The sequence below is a fragment of the Homo sapiens genome, chromosome 9, assembly GCF_000001405.40.
Source record: "Homo sapiens chromosome 9, GRCh38.p14 Primary Assembly".
Lineage (NCBI taxonomy): Eukaryota > Metazoa > Chordata > Mammalia > Primates > Hominidae > Homo > Homo sapiens.
This window is the reverse complement of record NC_000009.12, coordinates 15,163,542-15,185,599: the sequence shown is the minus strand read 5'-3', so window position 1 is coordinate 15,185,599 and position 22,058 is coordinate 15,163,542. Positions and strand designations below refer to the sequence as shown.

Here is a 22,058-nt window from a genome sequence, read left to right as displayed (position 1 = left end):
CTCGGCCCCGGCCCTGGAGTTGCTGATTCAGTAGGTCTAGAGTAGGGCCTGAAAATTGGCATTTCAAATAGGTTCCCAGGTGATGCTGCTGCTGCTGCTGGTGGTCTGTGAAGTTCACTGTGAAAACCACAGGTACAAATAATGTATGTGTTGCCATGACCTTTCTCTGGGGCTGGGCTGGGGTTCTTCACAGACAGGTGGACAGCTTGAAGCAGAGAATTGCCGGGAAATCTATCCCTACTGAGAAGTTTGCTGTGAGGAAGGCTCGGCGTTACTCCGCCTCCTTACCTGCACCTGTGAAGCTCATCTTACCTGCCCTGGTATCTGCTTTTATTTTCTTTTCATGTACTAGAAATAAATTACCTACTCACAGCAGCAGGGAGCATATCTAAATTTGGTTATGAAGTTTAGCTCATTTAAAAACCATTGTAGGTTTTGTTGTAAGTTGAACATTTCTAAATAAATAATTAATAAATAAAAACTGTAGCTAATGGTTTTTGACTAGTTAGTATGATCCAGGCATTACGATAAAGGCTACTAAAAACGTATCATTTTATTCTTATAACTTTTTGAGTATAGTTAACTCTTAGCCCCATTTTTTAGTGAAGAAATTTAGACAGAAAGAAGTTGATTCCATTGAAGTTGAGTTGAATTCTAATGCAAGCCACATTATGTAATTTTACCTTTTCTAATAGCCACATTAAAAAAGTAAGAGGAAATAGAAATGAATTTCAAGAATATATTTTAACCCAGTATATGCAAAATTTTGTCATTTCAACATGTAATTAATAGAAGCTTATCCATGAGATATATACATTCTTTCATATTGAACCAAGTCTTAGAAATTTAGTGTGTCTTTTACACTTAGAGGACATCTTAGTTTGGTCTAGCTGTATTTCCAGTGCTCAAGAGCCATAACTGGCTGCTGGCTGTTGTATTCTAGCTCCAGCTCACATTCTTAAACTTTATGCCATTTAGGCAAGGCTTCTGTGAAAAACACAATTTCAACTTGAATTTTCTTAATGAAGTGTTCTTCAAAAAATACTGAATATATCAAGTTACTATGACTCTTCTGGTGCTTTAGTTTTTATATAGATAGTCAGCACAGGAAAGCTGTTCAGTGTAACCGATGTCTGCAGTCCTCCACTCTGGGGTTTCCTGAGTTTTTTTTTTTTTTTTAAATTCAGAGTTTATTTCATCATTCCTCTTTGACAGTTATTTAGATTTTTCCAGTTTTTACAATTATACACTGCAATGAATATCCTCTTTTTGTACATGTGCATATAATTCTCTGTGAAAGGTTTTTTAAAAATGGAATTCCTGGTTCAAGGGAATATATACATTTAATATTTTGGTAGATATTGTTAAATTCCCCTCAAAAAAAGCTCTACCAATTTAAATAAGTACTGATAGTATTTTACCATTTTAATTTGCATTTCCTTGTGGATGTGGTGGAGCATCTTTTCATGTGTTTCTTCATTTTTATTTTTTCTTTTGTAAATTGTTGTTCATATTCTTTCCTAATTTTTCATTGGGTTGTTGATTGTTTTCTTAGTGACTTATGGGAGCCTTTTATACATTCTATGAGAAAGAACAATGCAGCCCCTCCCTGACAGGGGTCAGACAGGAGTTAGCCTGCGCCTAGCACCTAGGTCCAGGTGTTTCCTACCTAACACAAACTCAGAGAACTTCAGCATCAGACAGGCCCATTCTGTGACTGTGACGGAGCAAGACAAAAATATGACCACTCTGTAATCGTGTCTGAGCACAAATAAAAACAAGAACACTGTGTAAATCACACAAATAACCAAACATCTCCCTCTCCCAGCTCACATGAGAGCCTTCTGTTGCTTAACCAATTAGAGCCTTAGCTCCATGCCTGATTCATTTTTATTAAGTGATTTGCACTGGGAAGGTTTTTCTGTCTCACAGAACTCTACAGAAAATTTTCTAGACTATCATCTTTCTTTGCCTTAATACTTAGATACCAGTGTATACGTAAGTGTATCCTGCTTTGACTGTTAAGAACCATAGGGAAGGTTAACTCCCTGCACTTCTTTCTCCAGGTCTATGGAAGTAGAATGTACAGGAAATTGGCTTGAAATGTTAGTACTGGGATTTTTTTTTTTTTTTTTGTACCTAGGAATTTTACCAAAAGCCTGTTTTTCATAAAGTCTCAGATATGAGCTTGCCCTCTTCTGATAAAAAGATTTTATCAATAAAAGGAATTTTTAAAAGATCATCATCAATTTAAAAAAGATTCTGTTATTGAATTGAACTCTTGCTCTATTAGCAGCAATAAATTGTTACATGTAAAATTGAAGGTAGAGTGTCATGATCTTAGTTTTCGGTGCCATAAGATAAAGATACCTTTGCTGCCATTCTACTTGAGTGTGTCGTCCTCATTTCCACTACCTCCTGCTAAGAGGCTTTTCAAGCTATATTTTTATCATATCTTAAAATTTATTTCCAAGAAGATACTAATTACCCTGCTTACTTCATACCCTTCAAAATACGAACTGCACTATCAGGAACATTAGAAAAATATTTTCAAGCAAAAGCACATTTGCTTTTGATCCAAAAAAATTCTCATCTGGTAGCCCATTAAATATAATCTGTAATGAGAAATCATTAGTTTACATTTTAGGAGCTGTCATTCAGCCATATGGCTTTTAAATGAATACGTTTTCTGCATATTGGATTACATTACTGGACCGTCACATGTTTCTAATTGTATGAAAGATCCTAAGCCCAGTGAAATATTCCAGTGTTTATATCCAGTGATATTCTTGGAAACATTTTATGTAAACAACTGGCAGACATTTAAAAATATTTTTCTTTACTTAAAAGTAACAACAAAAGTTTACATTAAACAGAATTATTATTCATAGTATCGGTTTAAAATATTTATTTCTGTATCTGTATTCTATTACCTTCCAAAAGAATTAAATGCTTGTAGATATTTAATAAATATTTGTTATATGAATGAGTTTAAATTTTTGGTAAAAATATATATACTGAATTGCTTCACAGTATAAAAGGCAAAAGCAAAGGAAAATGATCTGTAAATATTGTCCTGAGGTTCCTAGAAACCGAAGCAAAACACATGAACATTGTTTGGGGATCATAAAGGACATTGAATAACCTCATATAACTGCAAATGGTTTTCATTTTTCCTCATTAGGAAATGATGTATGTCTGGAATGGTTTTTCAATAGTGAGCAAAAGAAAAGACCTTTCTGAAAATCTGTTAGTAACTGTTGAAAAAGCTGAGGCAGCTTTACAAAGTCAAAGTAAGTATACACAGTAAGCACCGAGGAGCCTTTGTCTCTGCTCCATGACTGCTCTCCTGTCTTTTCCCTGTGCACATCTGCCAACATTAATTTGTGTACATCCCAAGGACAAAGAGCTTGAGCTGCAGGGGTCTGGGTGATTGCAGTCAAATGCAGGGAGGAATGATACACACTGCAACTGCATGAACCTTGGAAACAGCTTACTAAGGGAAAAAGGCCAGGCCAGCCATAAAAGACCACATATTATATGATTCCCTTTACACGATACTCAGAATAGGGAAATCTATAAAGACAGACAGCAGATGAGTGGTTGCCTAGGGATGGAGTATGGAAGTTAGGAGTTATGATAGCTTTCTGGGGAGGGAGGTGATGACAGTGTTCTACAGTTGACTGTGGTGATGGCTGTACAACTCTGTGAATATCCTAAAAACCATTGAATGGTTACTCTCAGTGGGTGAATTGTATGGCATGTGAACTGTATCTTAAAACTATGACAAAAAAGATGAAGAGAGGAAGCCCAGCATTGGAATTTTAGCGCAGCACAAGGAAACGTGCACTTCCCTCTGGGTTGAGTTTGCTGTGACTCTTTCTATGCCTCCTTATTGCTGTCTAACCATTAGTGTGTTTCTGCAGACACAGGGAATAGTTTTCAAGGTGAAATGTTATCACGATTTATTCTACCCATTACATTTGGTTGTGCTAGAGGCCACATTTCAGTTTACCGGAAGCAGCTGATGTGGTAAAAGGAGTATCAGAATCAGGCAGTCTGGGCTTATAGTCCCAGCTCTGCCATCAGACTCTGGGTAACACCTCTGTTTTCTCGTGAAGTGGGAGGAGTGTTGGACCAGATGCTATCCAAAGTTGTTTCCTTGCCCTGACATTTTTTGATTCTGTATTTTTAAGAGGGGTAAACCATGCCATAAGTGATAGCCTTTGTTGTATTTCTTTTCAATGCCAAGTCACTTAGGTATTACCCCAAGAGAAATGGTCTTTTGTAATATTCTAACCACATAAGTAAAATGAAAACTTCTGTGATGCTAAACATGGTAAAGGGCATAGAAATTCAGGAATGGTGGGGAAACATTTTAACAGTTAACTCATTTTTGTTAACTGTAAAAAGATGGGCACTCCAGGAGCCCAGCCTACTGTCTATTTGAGCAAGCTCTTCACCACCCCCAGCCCCCCATTGGTTGGGGGCAAAATTCGAGGGGAAATATATTTTATCAGACTATGCTAGTAAAATGCAGTGGAAATTTGGAAAACCAAGTCACTCTCCTCCACCCATTCCTTTTTCTCTTAATGACATGCTGAGATGATAGGCTTTAGAGATATTTAAGCAGGGCGGGGGATACTGAGACAGACAGACAGACAGACATGCCATACTTACCTACAGTTTTGGCTTTGTGTGTCCTCTCTCTGGGTGAAATAATTAGTTTATTTTCTGAAGATCACCTTTGCCAGATATTTCATGTGAAACTTATGATGACCTCTTCTAGGACTTCTTTTATGCAAGATTATCTCCTGTTCTCCTTCCCACCTTGAACTGTTAGGACGGTTTAGTAATTAAGCTCCTATCCTTCAGAGCAGGGAAGAAAAAGTCCATAATTGGAAAATGGAGAGAAGTTGGAAAATGGAGAGAAGTTGGAAAATGGGGAGAAGTTGTAAACCTGAGGTTACATCATCTTCCACCCCATCCCCCACCCCCATTATTGGAAACTGGATGTGTATTGGCTTCTCCTAGCTTTGCAAGTGTGTCTAAAGTAAAAGATGGTAGAGGATACAACTGATCTACTCTGCAATACTCTGGCCATAGTTATTAAATGCTGGCCATTGATACAAAAGATAGAACTTTGAAGACAGAACAGAATTTGGTGACATCCCTGGAGTCAGCATTTGGTATTAATTCCAATAGTGTTTCATTTGAAATCTAACTAAATTCAACATGTAACCAGAAGTTCCACTTTGACTAATTTGCTTAATGAAATTATATAGCAAACATTATGAGAGTTATGTAAAAGGGAAAGTGATACTGACTTTATGACTTTTTACTTTCTAAATCTATTTTCAGATTTTTCTCTTGGGGCCATTTCAGCTAGCTTCTAAAAATTTCAGCATAGATACTTTTTGTAGTTTGGGCTTCAAACTTCCCTGTTTCTCAGCCTATCCACCATAAAAGTTCAGCGGATCTTTTGTCGTAAAATTGTACTCTAGTAGCTTTATCATGTAATTTTCTTTGAATGTTAAATGGAAACATATTACATGTGTGTTGTGTGTCGAAATGTTCATCTATGAACACTTTCATGAGGTTGAAAATCATGACAAAGCATTTATACTTCAAGGGAAAATAATCATCTGCTAGATAATGGTCTGTAGTCGGAGGAAATAATGATTTTGCCATCTAAGGTTTTTGGAGGAATATAGTATTTTTGAACCCAGTCGCCGTATGCCTAACTCAAGTTCGTCATAGAAGTTACATGCGGCTTTACTAGTATTTTAACTTCCCATGATGTTACGTCTGTTCCTCAACAAAATCATCATTCACAGAGCACCAGAATGTTGTCATAATACAAACTGTCGATACAATGCTACAGGAAACTCAGTAGAATGCACAAAAATGATACTACAAGCTAGCATCCAATATGGACCCTTTGGTTTTGGTTCTAGGTCCTAAAAGATATTACTTCTTGAATGTCTGTTTTAACATCCGTGATTAAAAGCAATGGATAGAATTTTATTTTGGTAGAAAAATGATTCTAAATAAATAATAGAAAAGGTAATGTGTTATTGATACCCGTGGTTTTCTGGGTGAATGACCTATCAGAGCTTGAAAGTTAGAGGTGAATATTCAGTTTTCAGCACCTAAGAAGTAACCCCTTTCTGGTTGGTTAAGTAGCATTGTTAATCTCCATAGTCAAGTGGTTTACCATCTTAACTGCCAGCATGTGTTAATGATGATTTCTGAGGTTTGTGCTGAAAGCAGGAGGATTTCAATAGGAGGGACTCCCAGGGCCTCGTATGTTCCCTTTACTGCCGTCCTCTCTACTGTCACAGCCTGAAATGTGTAAATTGTCGTTCTGTCTTGGAATAACGTTGTACTTGCCTGTAACTTGCAAAAAAATTTCAAAAGTGTAAATGTGGAATGGCTACCTTTGTCAGATAGATGTCACACGTAATATGGTTCCTTCTGTTTAACACACATTTGTCTTGGGCTGTAGAAGGCAGAGAGCATTTTCAAAAGGGAAAAAGTGGTGAAAAAATCCTTGACATTTTCCTCAAGCAGTTAGAAGTTTGTGGAGATTTTAGGTGCCTTTCATGTACTTCAGAACCGTTTTGTTAAATCTTATGGCATAGTTTTCCCCAAAAAGAACACAACCTGGGAGAATTGATAAGTTGTAAACATAATGATCTGGAGAGGGTATTCTACTTCCTGAATTTTTAATGGGGATAAGGCCATCTGCTTCTCCATATGGAAGTGTTATCCTCTCCTGTATTGAAGCCAACACAGAAGCCAAACAACAGGAGGAGGCAGCCTTCTTGTTCCTCATGGCTTTACCTTTTATAGAATTAATAAAGCTCTTTATTTAGAGCTCAGATTTTCGGTTGTTGTATCTAAGGTCACAAAGCTCAGAGCGTGACCACCTGAAGAATATTTTAAAGTGAATAGAGTGAACTCCTTAATAAAATGATGTTCTGATATAGTAAATTCAGCACTGTAGGAATGTATGTGTATATCAGATGGGGTCTTGCTCTTTCACCCAGGCTGCAGTGCAGTGGCGCCATCATAGCTCACTGCAGCCTCCAACTGCTGGGCTCAAATGATCTTCCTGCCTCTATCTCTGAGTAGCTGGGACTACAGGCATGTGCCATCATGCCCAGTAATTAAAAAAATTTTTTTTTGTAGAGACGGGGTCTCATTGTATTGCCCAGGCTGGTCCTGAACTCCTGGGCTCAAGTGAGCTTCCCACCTTGGCCTCCCAAAGCATTGGGATTACAGATGTGAGCCACTGTGCCCAGTTCTTTTCATTTAAAATAATTTCATTGTATTTTATTTAGTGAGGCATAACAAATGCTAAAAAGTTTTCCTTATTTGTAAATGATCCCTCTGAAACTTTGTTCTTTCTCTTAATTAAGATCTTAAGGCCGGGCACGGTGGCTCACGCCTGTAATCCCAGCACTCTGGGAGGCCGAGGTGGGTGGATCATGAGGTCAGGAGATCGAGACCATCCTGGCTAACACGGTGAAACCCCATCTCTACTAAAAATACAAAAAATTAGCCGGGCGTGGTGGTGGGCACCTGTAGTCCCAGCTACTCGGGAGGCTGAGGCAGGAGAATGGCGTGAACCCGGGAGACGGAGCTTGCAGTGAGCCGAGATTGCGCCACTGCACTCCAGCCTGGGTGAGAGAGCGAGAGTCCGTCTCAAAAAAAAAAAAAAAAAAGATCTTAAAAAGTATTTTTCTTTGTGTGTTTTCTTTGTATGTTTTTTGTTTTAAGATTTTAACAGCTTCTCTGTGGATGATGAGTGCTTAGTGAAGTTACTTAAAGGATGTTGCCTCAAGAACTTACAGCGGCCCTTGCAAGCTGAACTATGTTACAATCATGTTGTGGAAAGGTAAGACCAAACAATAAAACCAGCCCAAGTGCAAATTGTGGTTTCTGGGGAATTGCTGTGAGAAAGTGATGCAAAATGCTTTTATCTCTTACTGCTAAACTCTTACTTGGTGTTACCAGAAAGAAAATCCAGTAGTGTGTTGTTGTTGTTCTTCCTCGTGAACAAAATTATGGTCTGGGTGGAACATGACTTTATGTATTTCTACTTGATGTTTAAAGATGACTTACAAAAACTGTATTTATAGCTCAACTAACAGGTGTCTAGCCAAACTCTGGCAGCATCATACTGAATCTCTGCTACTCATTAATTTTTTTGTTTTTTACATATTTCTTTAGTTTTTCTTTTCTTTTCTTTTTTTTTAAGAGATGGGAGACTTTCCTTGTTGTCCAGACTGGAGTGCAAGTAGTACAATCATGGCTCACTGCAGCCTGGAACTCCTGAGCTTAAGAGATACTCCCAGCTTAGCCTCTTGAGTAGCTGGGACTACAAGTGTGCACTACTATGCCTGGCTTCTGATACTAATTTAATTCATACATTTATTTGTCCATTCATTTATTCCATGGATATTTGAGCACCCACTATATGCCAGAGACTGTGCTGGATTCTAAGGATTCAGAGCTGAGTAAACAGACTTGCCATCACCGTGATAATAATTTGGCAGTAAAGAGAGGCATGTGATGAGCACTCTGTCTCTCTTTTGGCAAAGGGCAGTTCTTCTGTATATAATTGAGTTTTGTTCTGGTTTTATTCCCCCTCAGTAGCATTGATGATGATGTCCTGCTCCATTACTAACCATAGAGTTGAATCAGGGTACTGATGCCTGGCCCTTTTCTCTGTATCACAAATGCAGTATTTACAGGGGCCAGATATGTAACCTTACTTAATAAGGCCGGCTGAGTGGTGGCAGGAATAGGATTGGTAGGCTCTATAGGTCAGGGTGTTTTCTCTGAAGAGTGTAGCCACACTCCTCAGCTCTATTTGATTATTGCTTTGCACAGTGTGGGCCCAATAGCAATAATCCCTACCATTTTTCACGAGAAGCCTGGAATCTGGATATTATGTAAAATCACCTGATTTTAAAATATTGGCTCAAATTTTTTGAAAATATTCTGCAAGCCAAAACAATCACAGCTATAGACTGCTGGTGGACATCCTGTGCTCTGTGTCATGTGCCTTTCCATCCGTGGCCACCTGATCCCCTTCTTCCTGACAGTATTGATGGGAATATAGGAGGACTTGTGCCCCTGTAAGAATAAAGAGAAAATATCTACTTCCCAAATGTACTGTCTTTAGTAATATTCTGTAATTAGTAAACATGTTAAAGAAATATCTATTGAATTCTATTTTATTAGTGTTTCTATAAGGATTAAAAGGATGATCAAAAGGATGACCTATTGTGCTGTTTTTTTGTATGTGAATCTCATAGTGAATTGTTTGCTCATGTGCTTTATAATTGTGGATTGTGAACTCACCTTCATTGGAGTTTTTTCTTGAGATTCCCATGAGGCTATACTGAAGAAGAGTTGCTCTACAGTGATTTTGCATTTTATTTCTGTCAGGTACCCTAAAGGTTTTTTCTGCCCAGGGCCTCTTTCATGTTAATTTCATTGCTTACTTCTTGGATCATTTAGACAATGTAAATTTGAATTGCACATTCAATGTGGGCAGGCCTATTGGTTATTGATTTCCTAAGGAATTCTTTTTTCTTCTCATTGAAAGTGCTGGCCAAGGAGACAACTGTCTTTGTCTTCCTCCTTTGCCAGTGAGTGGGTTTGTTCTAACCTGCCTTTGTCTTAAGGAGTAGTCCTGTAAGGATCCCAGCTTTAAATAGAGGTCTCAGTTTCAGCTCCCTGCTTTCTGTGGGCCCAAGGCCTCATCTCCTGCATGGATATTAGGATACAAAGCCCTTGACTCAGTTGGAGGTAGACCACAGGGCTCATTCAGCATCATCCCACATATGTAGAGTCTCACTTTTTCAATTCTAGCTGTTTTTGGCACTTGAGGGTTTTTTCTTATGTTCTGGTGAGCTAAGCTATGCATTTGAAATGGTGTTAGTTGTATTTTTTTTCATTGCTTTTACATGTTTTATAACCAGAGAGTTCTCCTAATAGTGCTGAAAACAGAAGTGTTGACCATTTCTTTATTGGCCTTTTAAAGTATTATAAGACTTTAAAATACAAAGGGAGTTGAACCTTAGTTTAAAAATAATACAACTTTCTTATTTCTAAATGGAGTCATTTTCTGAACACATTTGTGTTCAGAAAGATGATCTTGCCATTTCTAGGGTTAATCTTTAAAGATCCGTATGCGCTGATTTACTTAAGAGACAGCGATCAACCATCAGTGCTGGGTTTACATTAAGGAATAAAAGATTAATATAGGAAAAGAACATTATTTATTGCCATAGTTTAATGAGTTCCATAACTATACAATGGCCGCCTTTCTATGATAATAGACTTAGTGCTGCACATGTTTTCTGAAGAATGGGAATAATATATATTTAGAAAAATGTGTATTTCTTGTTCTGTTAAGATTTACTTGATTTTCCTCTGCTCTTTCAGTGAAAAGCTACTGAAGTATGACCACTACCTAGTGCCGTTCACTCTATTTGAATTGGCATCTTTGTATAAAAGCCAGGGGGAAATTGACAAGGCCATAAAGTTCCTAGAAACTGCAAGGTAAGTGTTGAAGGCAGCTTTTCCTTGATTGTTATGGAGTCAGAAATGTCAGTACTGCTCTAACAACAGCAGTAACATTATATACTTAACAATTAACAATGTCAAATTAGTAATAATGCTACTTTTGCTAACTTCTGGTTGATTTATGCTCATGGCTTTTGCTGTAATTGTGCTGTTTCCAACCCTCTTACTGCCTCACCCTGTGACTGTTTACAGATATGATTATGGGCATCTATTTGAAAGATTTCTAACTTATTTTATTCTATATCAGGGGTTGGCCAGCTTTTTGTGTAAATGGCTAGATAGTAAATATTTTTAGCTTTATAGCATAAAGTCTCCATTGCAACTACTCCATTATATCAAAAGAAGTCATAGAAGGTAATATGTAAACAGATGGGTATGTTTAGATTTGGCCCTTGGGTCCTAGTTTGCCAACCTTCATTGTATTCAGCCATACCTATTATTTCCTTGAAGAGCCATTGATCTTGTGAAGCTTGCAGATCTTACCCAGACTCTGTTTTTTCTGTTTATTGCGGCAGTTTCAAAGTATTTTTATCAATTCTGGTAGACAATAGCTTTTAGACCTGTGGTCATGGATCACTTAGGTAAGGCAAAAACCCTGTGGCCTGTTTGCCTTGAACACTTTCTGCAGTAGAGAAAGAATGCCAGACTAGCTCTAGGTCATAAACAGTGATTTGTCCATTTATTCAAATTCAGCAGTTATTCACTGAGCACCTATTATGTGTCAGACACTACTAGTAAAGGCTTTAGAGAGACAACTATAAACTAAGCAGGCAATACTTCTGCTCTGTTAGCCAGAGGGAGATACTAAATAGACAAGAAAAATATCAGTGGTATATGTTTGCTGAGATTTATAATATGATACATGGTGCCTGGGTGTTACTTCAGGATAGATTGATTCTGAAATATTTCCTTGGGGAAATGATATTGTAGCTGAGATTTGCATAATTAAAGCCAATCTTGAGATCAGTCATCAGAAATCAACCAACTAGGTAGGGAGCATTCCTGACAGAAGTCACAGTTAGTGAACATCTGCATTGAGGAGGTTGAGCCACTGGGTCAATGATGATGCTTTCTGCTGTGCTGGGGAATACTTAGAAGAATGTATTTGGGGAGAGAACGAAACATACTTCTGTTCAGACCATGATTCTTTAAGATGGCTATTAGGTACTCATATTAGGTAGATGGCAAGTTGGCGTTCATACTTAGCATGAAGTTCAGTGATAAGGTCAGGGCTGAATGTAGAGATTGCAGTCAACAGCACAGAGACAGTAATATTTAAAGCAATGGCGTGTGATGAAGTCATTTTGTGAATGTTATATAGCTAGAGAAAGAGGTCTAGCACAATGTCTGGGATATGCCATCTTCTTAGACATTAAATGATAAGATTAAGAAGATTAAGAGAGTTAGGAAGACATCTAGGAAAGCCAACCAAATAGTGTTTCAAAAAGAAGAGCATGGTCAGTTATGAGGGCAGCAACTAAGAGGTCAAACAAGTTAAGACCAGAAAAGTGGCTGCTGAATTTGGCAGCATGAGTATCATTGGTGACCTTGACAAATGAGGTGACAAACAAAATGGAGTCCGCTACTTTAGGCAACTCTTTTAGGATGTTTGCTGTGAATAGAACATCGTAATGGGGCAAAAGCTTTACGGGCATGGTAGAGCCAAGAAGGGCTTCCTTAAAATATTTATATATAGGTGATATGAGAGCAAGTTGCTTTTAAAGTTAATTTGTTGGGAGTATGACCAATATTTCATGTGTTAGATATAGATATCTTCAAATCCAGCTATTGGAAAATTATGGATTATAAATGCTGCTGTTCCAAATATTCATTATTTGAATATACAATGTATAATAAGGCAACTTTATAAGATAAAAATAAAAGACTAGTAACTCACTGCTAAAAAGCAATGAAAAGCCTCCACTAACTCAAGACAATACTGACAATTCAAACATAAAGATACTTCCCAGTAATTCCAAGACTATTATCTGCACTTTCCCTTTATGCATTAGGAGCTTTGCAAAGTTGCCCACATTGGTGGCATTTAGGAAAATACTCAATTCCATCTGTCGGTAAACTCCAGTAACATATTGATTTTAGTTTATGAATAATACATTTTACTAACCCACATCAAGATTACCAGTGAGTAGCCCTTATACCTGTTCAAAATGAAGGGCTATAGAAATAAGTGCCACTGTAAAGAAAGCAGTTATAGCTCACCCATGGGCCAAGGCAGTATGTAAAAGTATTCCATTTTTCTGATTCTTAACAATTCTGGTAAAGGGAGGTCAACATAAATGCTCTTAGGCAGGTTTTAAATAATCTTTGGATTTCTATGGCCCCCTTTAAAGACATTGGCCTAATTCTTATGTAATTATTGGCCAAACCATTGATATTTACATGTGAGAATTGGAATAAGTAATTTTGACGTCATTAAGTAATTCTGCTGCCTTTGTTGCAGTTGTTTCATTTGAGTTTCTTGAGTGATCGATCATGTGATCATGCTAACCATGTTTATATGCACCTACCTTAAAATTTTCCAATTTAAAAAAGGAAGTCTAATTATTTAGGACTAGTTCACAAAATTTGTACAGCCCTTCTCACAACTTCTTGCTATGCTTGTGAATGATTTGGTAATTAAGCAGAACCTTGCTACTCAAAGTATGACCTTTAGATGACCACCAGGAAGCTTCTAGAAATGCAGATTATTGCAGTTCCCCCCAAAACCCCCCAACAGAACCAGAATCTGCATTTTACTAAGATCTACGGTTATGTATATTAGAGTTTGAAAGTAAGTAAGTAGATCAGAGAGAGGAATGGGAGAGTGGTGGTACCTGGTATATAAGGAAATTTTGACTGTACAATTTTATTGTTATTGTCTTCAGGAACAACTACAAAGATTACTCCCTGGAGTCCAGACTACACTTCAGAATTCAGGCAGCTCTTCACCTCTGGAGAAAACCTTCCTCAGATTGATCAGAACTTGAAGGATGGAATTTTTCCTCAATTAGCATCGGCATCTGCTATAGATTCAACCTTATATTAAAGTGGAAAAATGATCTTGTGAATAAGAGACAAAAAAACAGTTTTTTTGGTCAATATTTTCTATCATCTGAGAGATTTACTGTTGGTCTACATAATTTTTTTTCCTATGGAATGGCATTCTATATTATCTAGAAAATTCTTATATTTTGCCTCCCCCAAAAGAATTTCATATTATTTGAATTAGGGGGCGAAGAAGTCTTTTGAAAGACTTGCAGATGCAATAGTCTAATTAGATTATTTATTTTTTTAATGTGAAAATTAATATTGTTTAGCAAATAGCTTACAAGTTGAGCCAATTTTGGATTTGTTGGGTAGTTAAACTTCAGAGATATTTTGTTGCCTGTATTTAAATTTCAGAAGATAAATAAATATCATTGCATTTAAAATAGCTTAACAGTGACCTTCAGAAGACTTCTGAAAAAGACAGTCTGAGAACATGAACACGGATCGATATAATGTACTTCATGGGTTGAAGAGACCTTTCTCTATAAAGGATGATGCAGTATTCAGTTAGTGGTTTTTTACTCTTCATTTGATTAAAGGTGGTGACGTTTTGGAGAGACTGATTTTGAATGTACTTAAGTCTATTATAATAACAAAATTCAAAACCCCTGTGTATCTAAAGGGAAGGAAGTGTCATATTTTAGGAATTTTTCTTAACCTTAGCAATGAGAGCCTAAAATACATACATGGATTATTTTTCTTCTAGGAAGTAAATTTCCTGCTGCTTTAAATGATATGTAAAATATCAATAATTTTTACACTTAAGATGTTGGTAAGACCTAGTTTTCTAATCTCTCTAGCACTGTGATGTCTCCTTGTAGATAATCTGGACCTTGCTTAGTCCTTTAGTTGGGAAACAGAATCAGGGCATAGAGCAGAAGAGAGCTTGACACTCCATATGGTCCTGGTTCTGCTACCCATTAGCGATTAGTGAGGAGACCTTTAGGGAGTCCACTGTGCCCTGTGTGTCACCACATTTTCTTCTGTGAAATCAAGATTAAAGAACAGATGACTTTCAAGGTCTTTTTCAGTTTTATAACTGTGAGTCTATGTATTAGGTATTTATTTTCAACAAATGACTTTAAAATGTCGAATGCAAACCATTCCCACTTGGAGTGTTTTATTTTTCAATCATCATCATTGCCCCCAACTCCCCACATGTATGTGTTGTGGCATCCAGAGTGAGAAAAGACAATTTATGAGTTGATGAATCTGGGCCTTATTTCTATTTCCATTTTGAAGAATAACTTGTCATAGAAGCCTCTGCAGTTTAACAGAAGGAGCCACATATTGGGAGTCACGAGTTCATCTCTGTGGGTTAATAGTTCCATGACACGGAGTACGTAGCTCAGCTTTTCAGGGGTTCAGTTGCCCCACTATGGATAGCGGTGTGGTATTTGGTACTTGTGAGGGCTCAATTAGATAAAACATATGATAGCTTTTTGTAAACTGTAAAAGGCTATACAAAAGTATGAATTATTATAATAATTATGGTTTTTTATGTCTGGATTACAGTATCAACACAAAAGTATTGGCTGATACTGTGGTTTGTGTTGTAAAATGAAAGAAGTGTAGAAATTCAAATACCTTACTGTGTATTCATGTGTTTGATGTTGACAGTAGGCTACCCAGGTTATATGAACCTGCTCCTGCCGTTCCCTGCCACATGGACCTGTATCAAGCAGTGTGTGGCTTGTTTTCTTCAAGGTACTGATTCTTGACCAACACTGAGGATGTATATCCAATGAAAGATAGATATCAATGGCGGTAGATATCAATGTGTTATTAGTAATACAACTTTAGGTACAGACAAAATAGAAAATAAAATTAACTGTCATTATAATTAGTAGTGGAAAATACATTAAAAATTATTTGTGTATAGCTTTGGAAAAAAGTTTTCCAAAAAAAGCTTTTTGGAAAAAAGCTCTTAGAAGAGCTTTGGTAACATTATTTTTGAAAGCGCACACTCACATTGTGACTGTGGGTATACTGAGCATATATTCTTACATTGTTACTGTGAGAAGCTGCAAGTCAGTGCTGCAAGTCAGTAACAAATTCTCTTTTGGGGATAAAATGAAACAGTTTTAAGCTTAGAGTGGCCATTTTTATTTTAACTCTGCATTACTAAACAAATATAAAAGAAATTCATCTCCATTTAAAAATCTTTTTTGTTATTTATATTTTGTTTTATTTTTGTTTCCTATTCTTTATGCAGTTACCTGATACTATGGACAGTATATCCAGTGGATCTTTTAGTACTGTAATATCAAAATGCTACAAATATTTATGTTTCCTGCTATGTTCAAGATATTGTAGTGGCACCAACTTCTTGGGCATCAGCTAATATTGCATTTTGGAGTCATTAGGGTGTTCTGTGAAGAATGAATACTGAAGTGACAGTTTTATCTAGTTTTTTGAGGGGCATTTATGATGGGGTTGGGTTGCCATTGTGTCTGACAGTGCAATTCATGTAGTTCCTGGCATAATTGCCTTTTTTTTTTCCTTAATGGAGAGGCAGGGTTCTGATTGGTGCTGTATAAATTTAAGTAACTTTGTGCTTTGTAGGAATGGTGACAAGGAAGGCATGATTTCCCCCTGACAAGGAATGAAAGGTGAACTGTATCAGCTCTTATCTGGACATATATGTTAATGTTTTCTATGCTCCCTGATACAAGAAGTTTCCAAGTTATATAGGAAAATTAAGTCCATTGATCCTGTCTTTATCCTCAGAGGGCAGAAATGAGACAAGTGGATAAAGGCTGTAGGAAGCTGAATTCCAGATTAATCAGTGCCGAGGAAGATTTTTCATTATCGGAAAACCCAACAGTCTAAAATCAATAACCAGTTCTTCTGCAAAGGGGTGAGTTTAAGCAGGGCTAATGTGACTGTCATTTCTGCCTGTCCTGCAAGCTTAGACTAGTTGAACTTTGAGGTCACTCTATGATTCTTTTATTAGGGCTTCAAATCAGCAGGGAGTGTGTAAAGAAAAAATGCTCCCCCCCTACCATTTCAAATAAAAGTGAATGTTTTCTCTTTCAAAGCTACTATTAGAGGTAGTTGTGATAGACACTAACAATCCCCGGTGTTAATACTTTCCACTCCTTTTATTTTATTTTAATTTAATATTATTTTATTGAGACAGAGTCTCGCTCTGTCACCCAGGCTGGAGTGCAGTGGCGTAATCTCTGCTCACTGCAAGCTCCTCCTCCCAGGTTCACGCCATTCTCCTGCCTCAGCCTCCCGAGTAGCTGGGACTACAGGCGCCCGCCACCACGCCTGGCTAATTTTTTGTATTTTGAGTAGAGACGGGGTTTCACCGTGTTAGCCAGGATGGTCTCGATCTCCTGAACTCGTGATCCACTCCTTTTTAAAGTGAGTCTAGTCTGTTGATCTTCATAAATAGGAGGGTTTTCCTCCAGCTTGGACATTAAAAATAATTTTTAAAAAGATCTTTGTGGCTAACTGGAAAATCTTCTGGAATTATCTAATGCTTCATTCATTTCCCTCCATTTCTGTTTTTTTTTTTTGTATTTATACTCTGCATATTTAGAAATCTTAAATTCAAATACATTTAGTTAAAATGAGTTGACGAAGACTCCAGTGATGTTTTAATACCCTAAGATTTTGTGATTCCTTGGGCCTGGAATGGATCTTAGAAAATTACCTTGCCCTCATGAGCCTGTAAACCGTGTTGTTTCCCCTCAGTCTTGCTCTGTCCAGTACAGTAGCCCCTCGCCACACATGGCTGCGGAGCACCCGGAATGGCTTACAGCACATGTGGGAATGGTGCTGAATGCTGAGGAAGCATTCACTCATACGTGCTGCACTTCTTAAAGGCCTCCCAATAGCCTGCTTTGCGGAGTTCTGGCTTTTACTTGCTGTCTACTATGATCACCTGATTTGTGCTTCACATACATATCTGTGAAGTTTGCTTTTTCTATTTAAAGTGCCCTTAAACTTTCATTTGATCGTGTTTATCTGCAGATGGTCAGTGTCATTGGCATATTTGAACATTATTCTGCCCTCCCTCCGCCAAACTCCTTATGTACTAGATTAAGAAATTTTATTTTTGAGATGATGATTTTAATTTGATTTTACAGACATTCTTTTTTACAAAGTACAGTTGTTAGAGTTATAGAAGAGTGATTCACATCTTTGAGAAGATAGATTTCATGATTAATATATATATTTTTTGAGACAGAGTTTCGCTCTTGTTGCCCAGGCTGGAGTGCAATTGCACGATCTAGGCTCACTGCAACCTCTGCCTCCCAGGTTCAAGCAATTCTCCTGCCTCAGCCTCCCAAGTAGCTGGGATTACAGGCATGTGCCACCATGCCCAGCTAATTTTGTATTTTTAGTAGAGATGGGGTTTCTCCATGTTGGTCAGTCTGGTCTCGAACTCCCAACTTCAGGTGATCTGGCCGCCTTGGCCTCCCAAAGTGCTGGGATTACAGGCGTGAGCCACCATGCCTGGCCCAATATTTTCTAAGATAAAATTATTCTGAGAAATCTAGTGGAATCTTTTCCATTGCTTTGTTATTAATGTTTCAACACTGACTTTCTCAACTAGGCCAGTATTACTATTTAAAGGTTTTTAGAGGCTGGCAATGGTGGCTCACGCCTGTAATCCTAAAACTTTGGGAAGCCAAAGTTGGGGGGCGTCACTTGGGACCAGGGGTTTGAGGCCAGCCTGGGCAATACAGTGAGAACCTGTCTTTACAAAAAAAAAAAAAAAAAAAAAAATGAGCCGTGCATGGTGGAGTGCACTTGTAGTCCTAGCTACTAGGGAGACTTAGGTGGGATAATTGCTTGATCCCAGGAGTTTGAGGCTACAGTGAGCTAAGATCATGCCACTGCACTCCACCCCAGGTGACAGAGTGAGACCCTGTCTCAAAAAAAAAAAAAAAAAAAAAAAAAATATATATATATATATATATATATATATATATATATATATATATATAAAATAAAGGTTTGTGGACACATGTTACCCATTTAGAGAATAATTTATTTTTGAATGTGTATGATACCTAAGTGATATGCATATATATAATTAAGACATTTTAAATCTCTTCAGATATTTCTTCATAAGATACATGTATCTATAGATAGCTATATACAAAACTACTTACAAATAATAAATAGACATTGTTTTATACAGTTCTTTCCAAAGAAATGCAGGATTTCTTATCCTAGTCCTTCCTCCCCGAGTCCAGTTATTTACATATTTTTGTCTTTAAGTGTTAGATTGCTTGTTTCTGCTGCCTATTGTTGGTAGTTTTGTCTTTTACACATTTGCTGTTAGATTTAGTTATTTTGAAATGTTGAACTTGAAATGTAATGAAAAGGACACATCAGAATTTATCATCAGGGAAGATATCTTTTATGTTGAGCAGCTGCTATCTGATCTTGACAGACTGTCCTCTTAGAGGACTGTTGAAGTCCATTCTAGTCATTTTGTAACTTCATAACTGCAGAAAGAAATGATGCAAGGACTGTTTAGTGGACTGAGATGGCTGAGCAGGTTCTTGGCCTGAATTATCCAGAGGAGATAGGTGGATCTAGCTTCAGAGGAAGTCTACACCCCATTCCCTTCTGCTTACAATGTACCCATGATATGTGTTTAGCACAGTAATACTGTAACAGGACATCACATGGAAAAATCAAAGCAGCTGGCTCACTGTATTTAACTGAAAAGAATGCCTACAGATTGGATATTTAATAGGGAAAATTAAGGCACTTTAATAACAAACTTCATTATGTGAAACTTGTTGAATATTAACATACAATATACCTTGTATATTAATGCCATAGTTTTTAGAAACACTAATTTAAACAACAAATTTAAGGGGTGCTGGCATATCCCAGTGACACCTTCAGTTTTATTGCTGCTTAGTATTTTCTAGTAAATTAGTTTTAATTATTGGTAGTCTGTTGGGCACCATTTGGGAAAGAAATAAATTGGTCTCAGTGTAGCAGACTTGTAGCCAAAAACTTTGAATAAAAAATAAGTATAATAAAGAATATTATTTCATTTTTAAAGGAATTGTATTATTTTGAAGTGCTGTGTGGTTGATATGGTTTGGTTGTGTCTCTACCCAAATCTCTTATTGAATTGTAGTTCCCATAATCCCCACATGGGAGGGACCCAGTGGGAGGTGACTGAATCATGGGGGCAGTTTTCCCCATGCTATTCTCATGATAGTGATTGAGTTCTCACGAGATTTGATGGTTTTATAAGGGGCTTTTCCCCCTTTGCTCAGCACTTCTCTTTCCTGCCGCCCTGTGAAGAAGAAGGTGCCTTTCTTTCCCTTTGCCTTCCGCCATTATTCTAAGTTTCCTGAGGCCTTCTCAGCCATGCAGAATTGTGAGTCAATTATACCTCTTTTTTAAATAAATTATCCAGTCTCAGATATTTCTTCATAGCAGTGTGAGAATGGACTAATACAATGGTCTTAATCAATTTGAAGGTATGACACTCTTTGCTTTGGAAATCATGTAGACATTTTAAGTCATTCCTATTTTTAATGTAGACAAACGTCCAGGTAGCAATTTTGGGGATAATAAATGAGTTCACCCTTTTTTTTTCTTTTTTTCCCTGAGACAGAGTTTGCTCTTGTTGCCCAGGCTGGAGTTTAATGGCACGATCTTGGCTTACCACAACCTCTGCCTCCTGGGTTCAAGCAATTCTCCTGCCTCAGGCTCCCAAGTAGCTGGGATTACAGGCATGTGCCATCACACCCGGCTAATTTTTGTATTTTTAGTAGAGACAGGGTATCTCCATGTTGGTCAGGCTGGTCTCGAACTCCTGACCTCAGGTGATCCGCCCACTTCAGCCTCCCAAAGTGCTGGGATTACAGGCGTGAGCCATCATGCCTGGCCGAGTTCAGCTTTTATTCACATTTTTTCCCCAAAGTGATTTATTCTTCAAAGTAGACAGTTATGTTCTATAGAGTGTTTTGTTTTTTCTTTAAGAAAATAATTTACATAAACAGAGATTATGGTAAACATTTTAAATCTTAGGCTGTTGGTTAAATTTAATGGTTTAAGCACTGTTGGGTTCTCTTTAATTAATATTTGCAGAAGGAGAACATATGTGTTTCACTGATATGTATGGTCCAGAAAAATTACTTAATTCTCAAAAATATGTTGCATTCTCATATTGTGTTAGGGAAAATTCCATAAGTAGTCTATTTTTTTTTTTCTTTTGCTGACTGTTAACATCCAAACACCTGAATGAAAACTGACTCATTTCTGTATTGGTGTTTAAAAATATTGATTTGCAGATGTTCACAGAACACTTGCATTTTTTGATTCACATTGCTAAATCAAATGTAAAGGCAAATATGTATATTTAATAAATGAGAAGTATTTTTTTATTACTGAAATTTATTCTCAAAGCAAATGTATTTTGTAGATGTTTCATTTGGGAGATTTTGCTTTGCCTTAAAACATACAAAATAAACCTGTCTTGTGGTCTGCCCACCTCAAAACCTCTGTTAACTTGACATGTAGAAGGAGTTCAGAATTCTTTGATAATGTGTGGTTTTCACTTTTGTTTGGATTAAACAAAAATAAAATTAGAGTCCATAGCACTTTGTAAACTAATGTGAAGTTTCTTGTTGAATCATAAAAGCTACCTGTATGTACTTTATAATTTAATGTTCTGTTAGTAAAAATTGTCAGCATTTTATCTTTTTCTCTTCTCATTACATTTTAGTCTCCAATCTTTCCCACTCTCAGCAGTCACAGTTTTGCAGAGCAAAACATTTTTAGAAACTGAATATGTGTGAGTTCTATATAAAATGAATGTGTTAGTAACATCCATCTGCTGATCAAGGAGGCATTGGATCTGGTACTAGAAGGTGAAATTGATTGTAGCTATCAAAGCATTTTATCAATGTAAGTCAAGAAAAAAGAAGAAAACTGTGAACCTCTGATATTTTTAACATAAAAACTGTTCCCAATGAGTGTTCTCTTGCTGATTTTGTGTTAATGTTATTGTCTATGATTTTTAAGCTAATGCTAATATAAAATCTAAAATTTCAACATGATGACAACAATTCCTGTAGCCTGTTTTTACCATTAGGATGTTTTTGAAAACAGATGTCATCTTAGAAATTATATTTTTAAGTGCAAATAAATCATCCTGACTTGAAAGTCAACACATTTTATTTTTCATTCCGTAGTATCACAGAATATGCTGCATTTAGATACAGGTTTAATTTGCCAGATTTTCTCAAAATTCTGTATTTTTATATTGCTACAACTGGTTTACTTAACATGCAATTGAATTGTTATTTAAATAAATTACATTTGATGGAATTGGAGTCTTATTCTGGTTGGTCTACATGTGGAAGCAGTACACGACATCTGTTTTGCTGGTCTTTAGTTGTCAATGTGAT

General features: G+C 37.0%; 1 protein-coding gene across 14 annotated transcripts in view, besides 1 other annotated feature; it reads left to right on the top strand.

Moving 5' to 3' along the window:
- TTC39B (tetratricopeptide repeat domain 39B) overlaps positions 1-21,978 on the top strand; it is a 143,595-nt gene extending 121,617 nt beyond the window's left edge. For 13 of the 14 annotated variants that reach the window (XM_047422829.1, NM_001168341.2, NM_001168339.2 and 10 more), the window contains 5 exons: positions 194-320; positions 3,185-3,293; positions 7,786-7,903; positions 10,465-10,581; positions 13,491-21,978. In XM_047422829.1, coding sequence (XP_047278785.1) covers positions 194-320; positions 3,185-3,293; positions 7,786-7,903; positions 10,465-10,581; positions 13,491-13,581 — 562 coding nt within the window. In that variant the 3' untranslated portion in view covers positions 13,582-21,978. The other variant, XM_047422831.1, reaches the window with a different exon arrangement.
- Positions 9,163-9,664: an enhancer, noted in NCBI's record as "NANOG hESC enhancer chr9:15175934-15176435 (GRCh37/hg19 assembly coordinates)". NCBI's record gives its function as "activates a minimal SCP1, AML or CMV promoter by ChIP-STARR-seq in primed H9 embryonic stem cells {active_cell/tissue: H9 hESC(primed)}" and the evidence as "EXISTENCE:reporter gene assay evidence [ECO:0000049][PMID:30033119]".
- Positions 21,979-22,058: the final 80 nt, after the last annotated feature.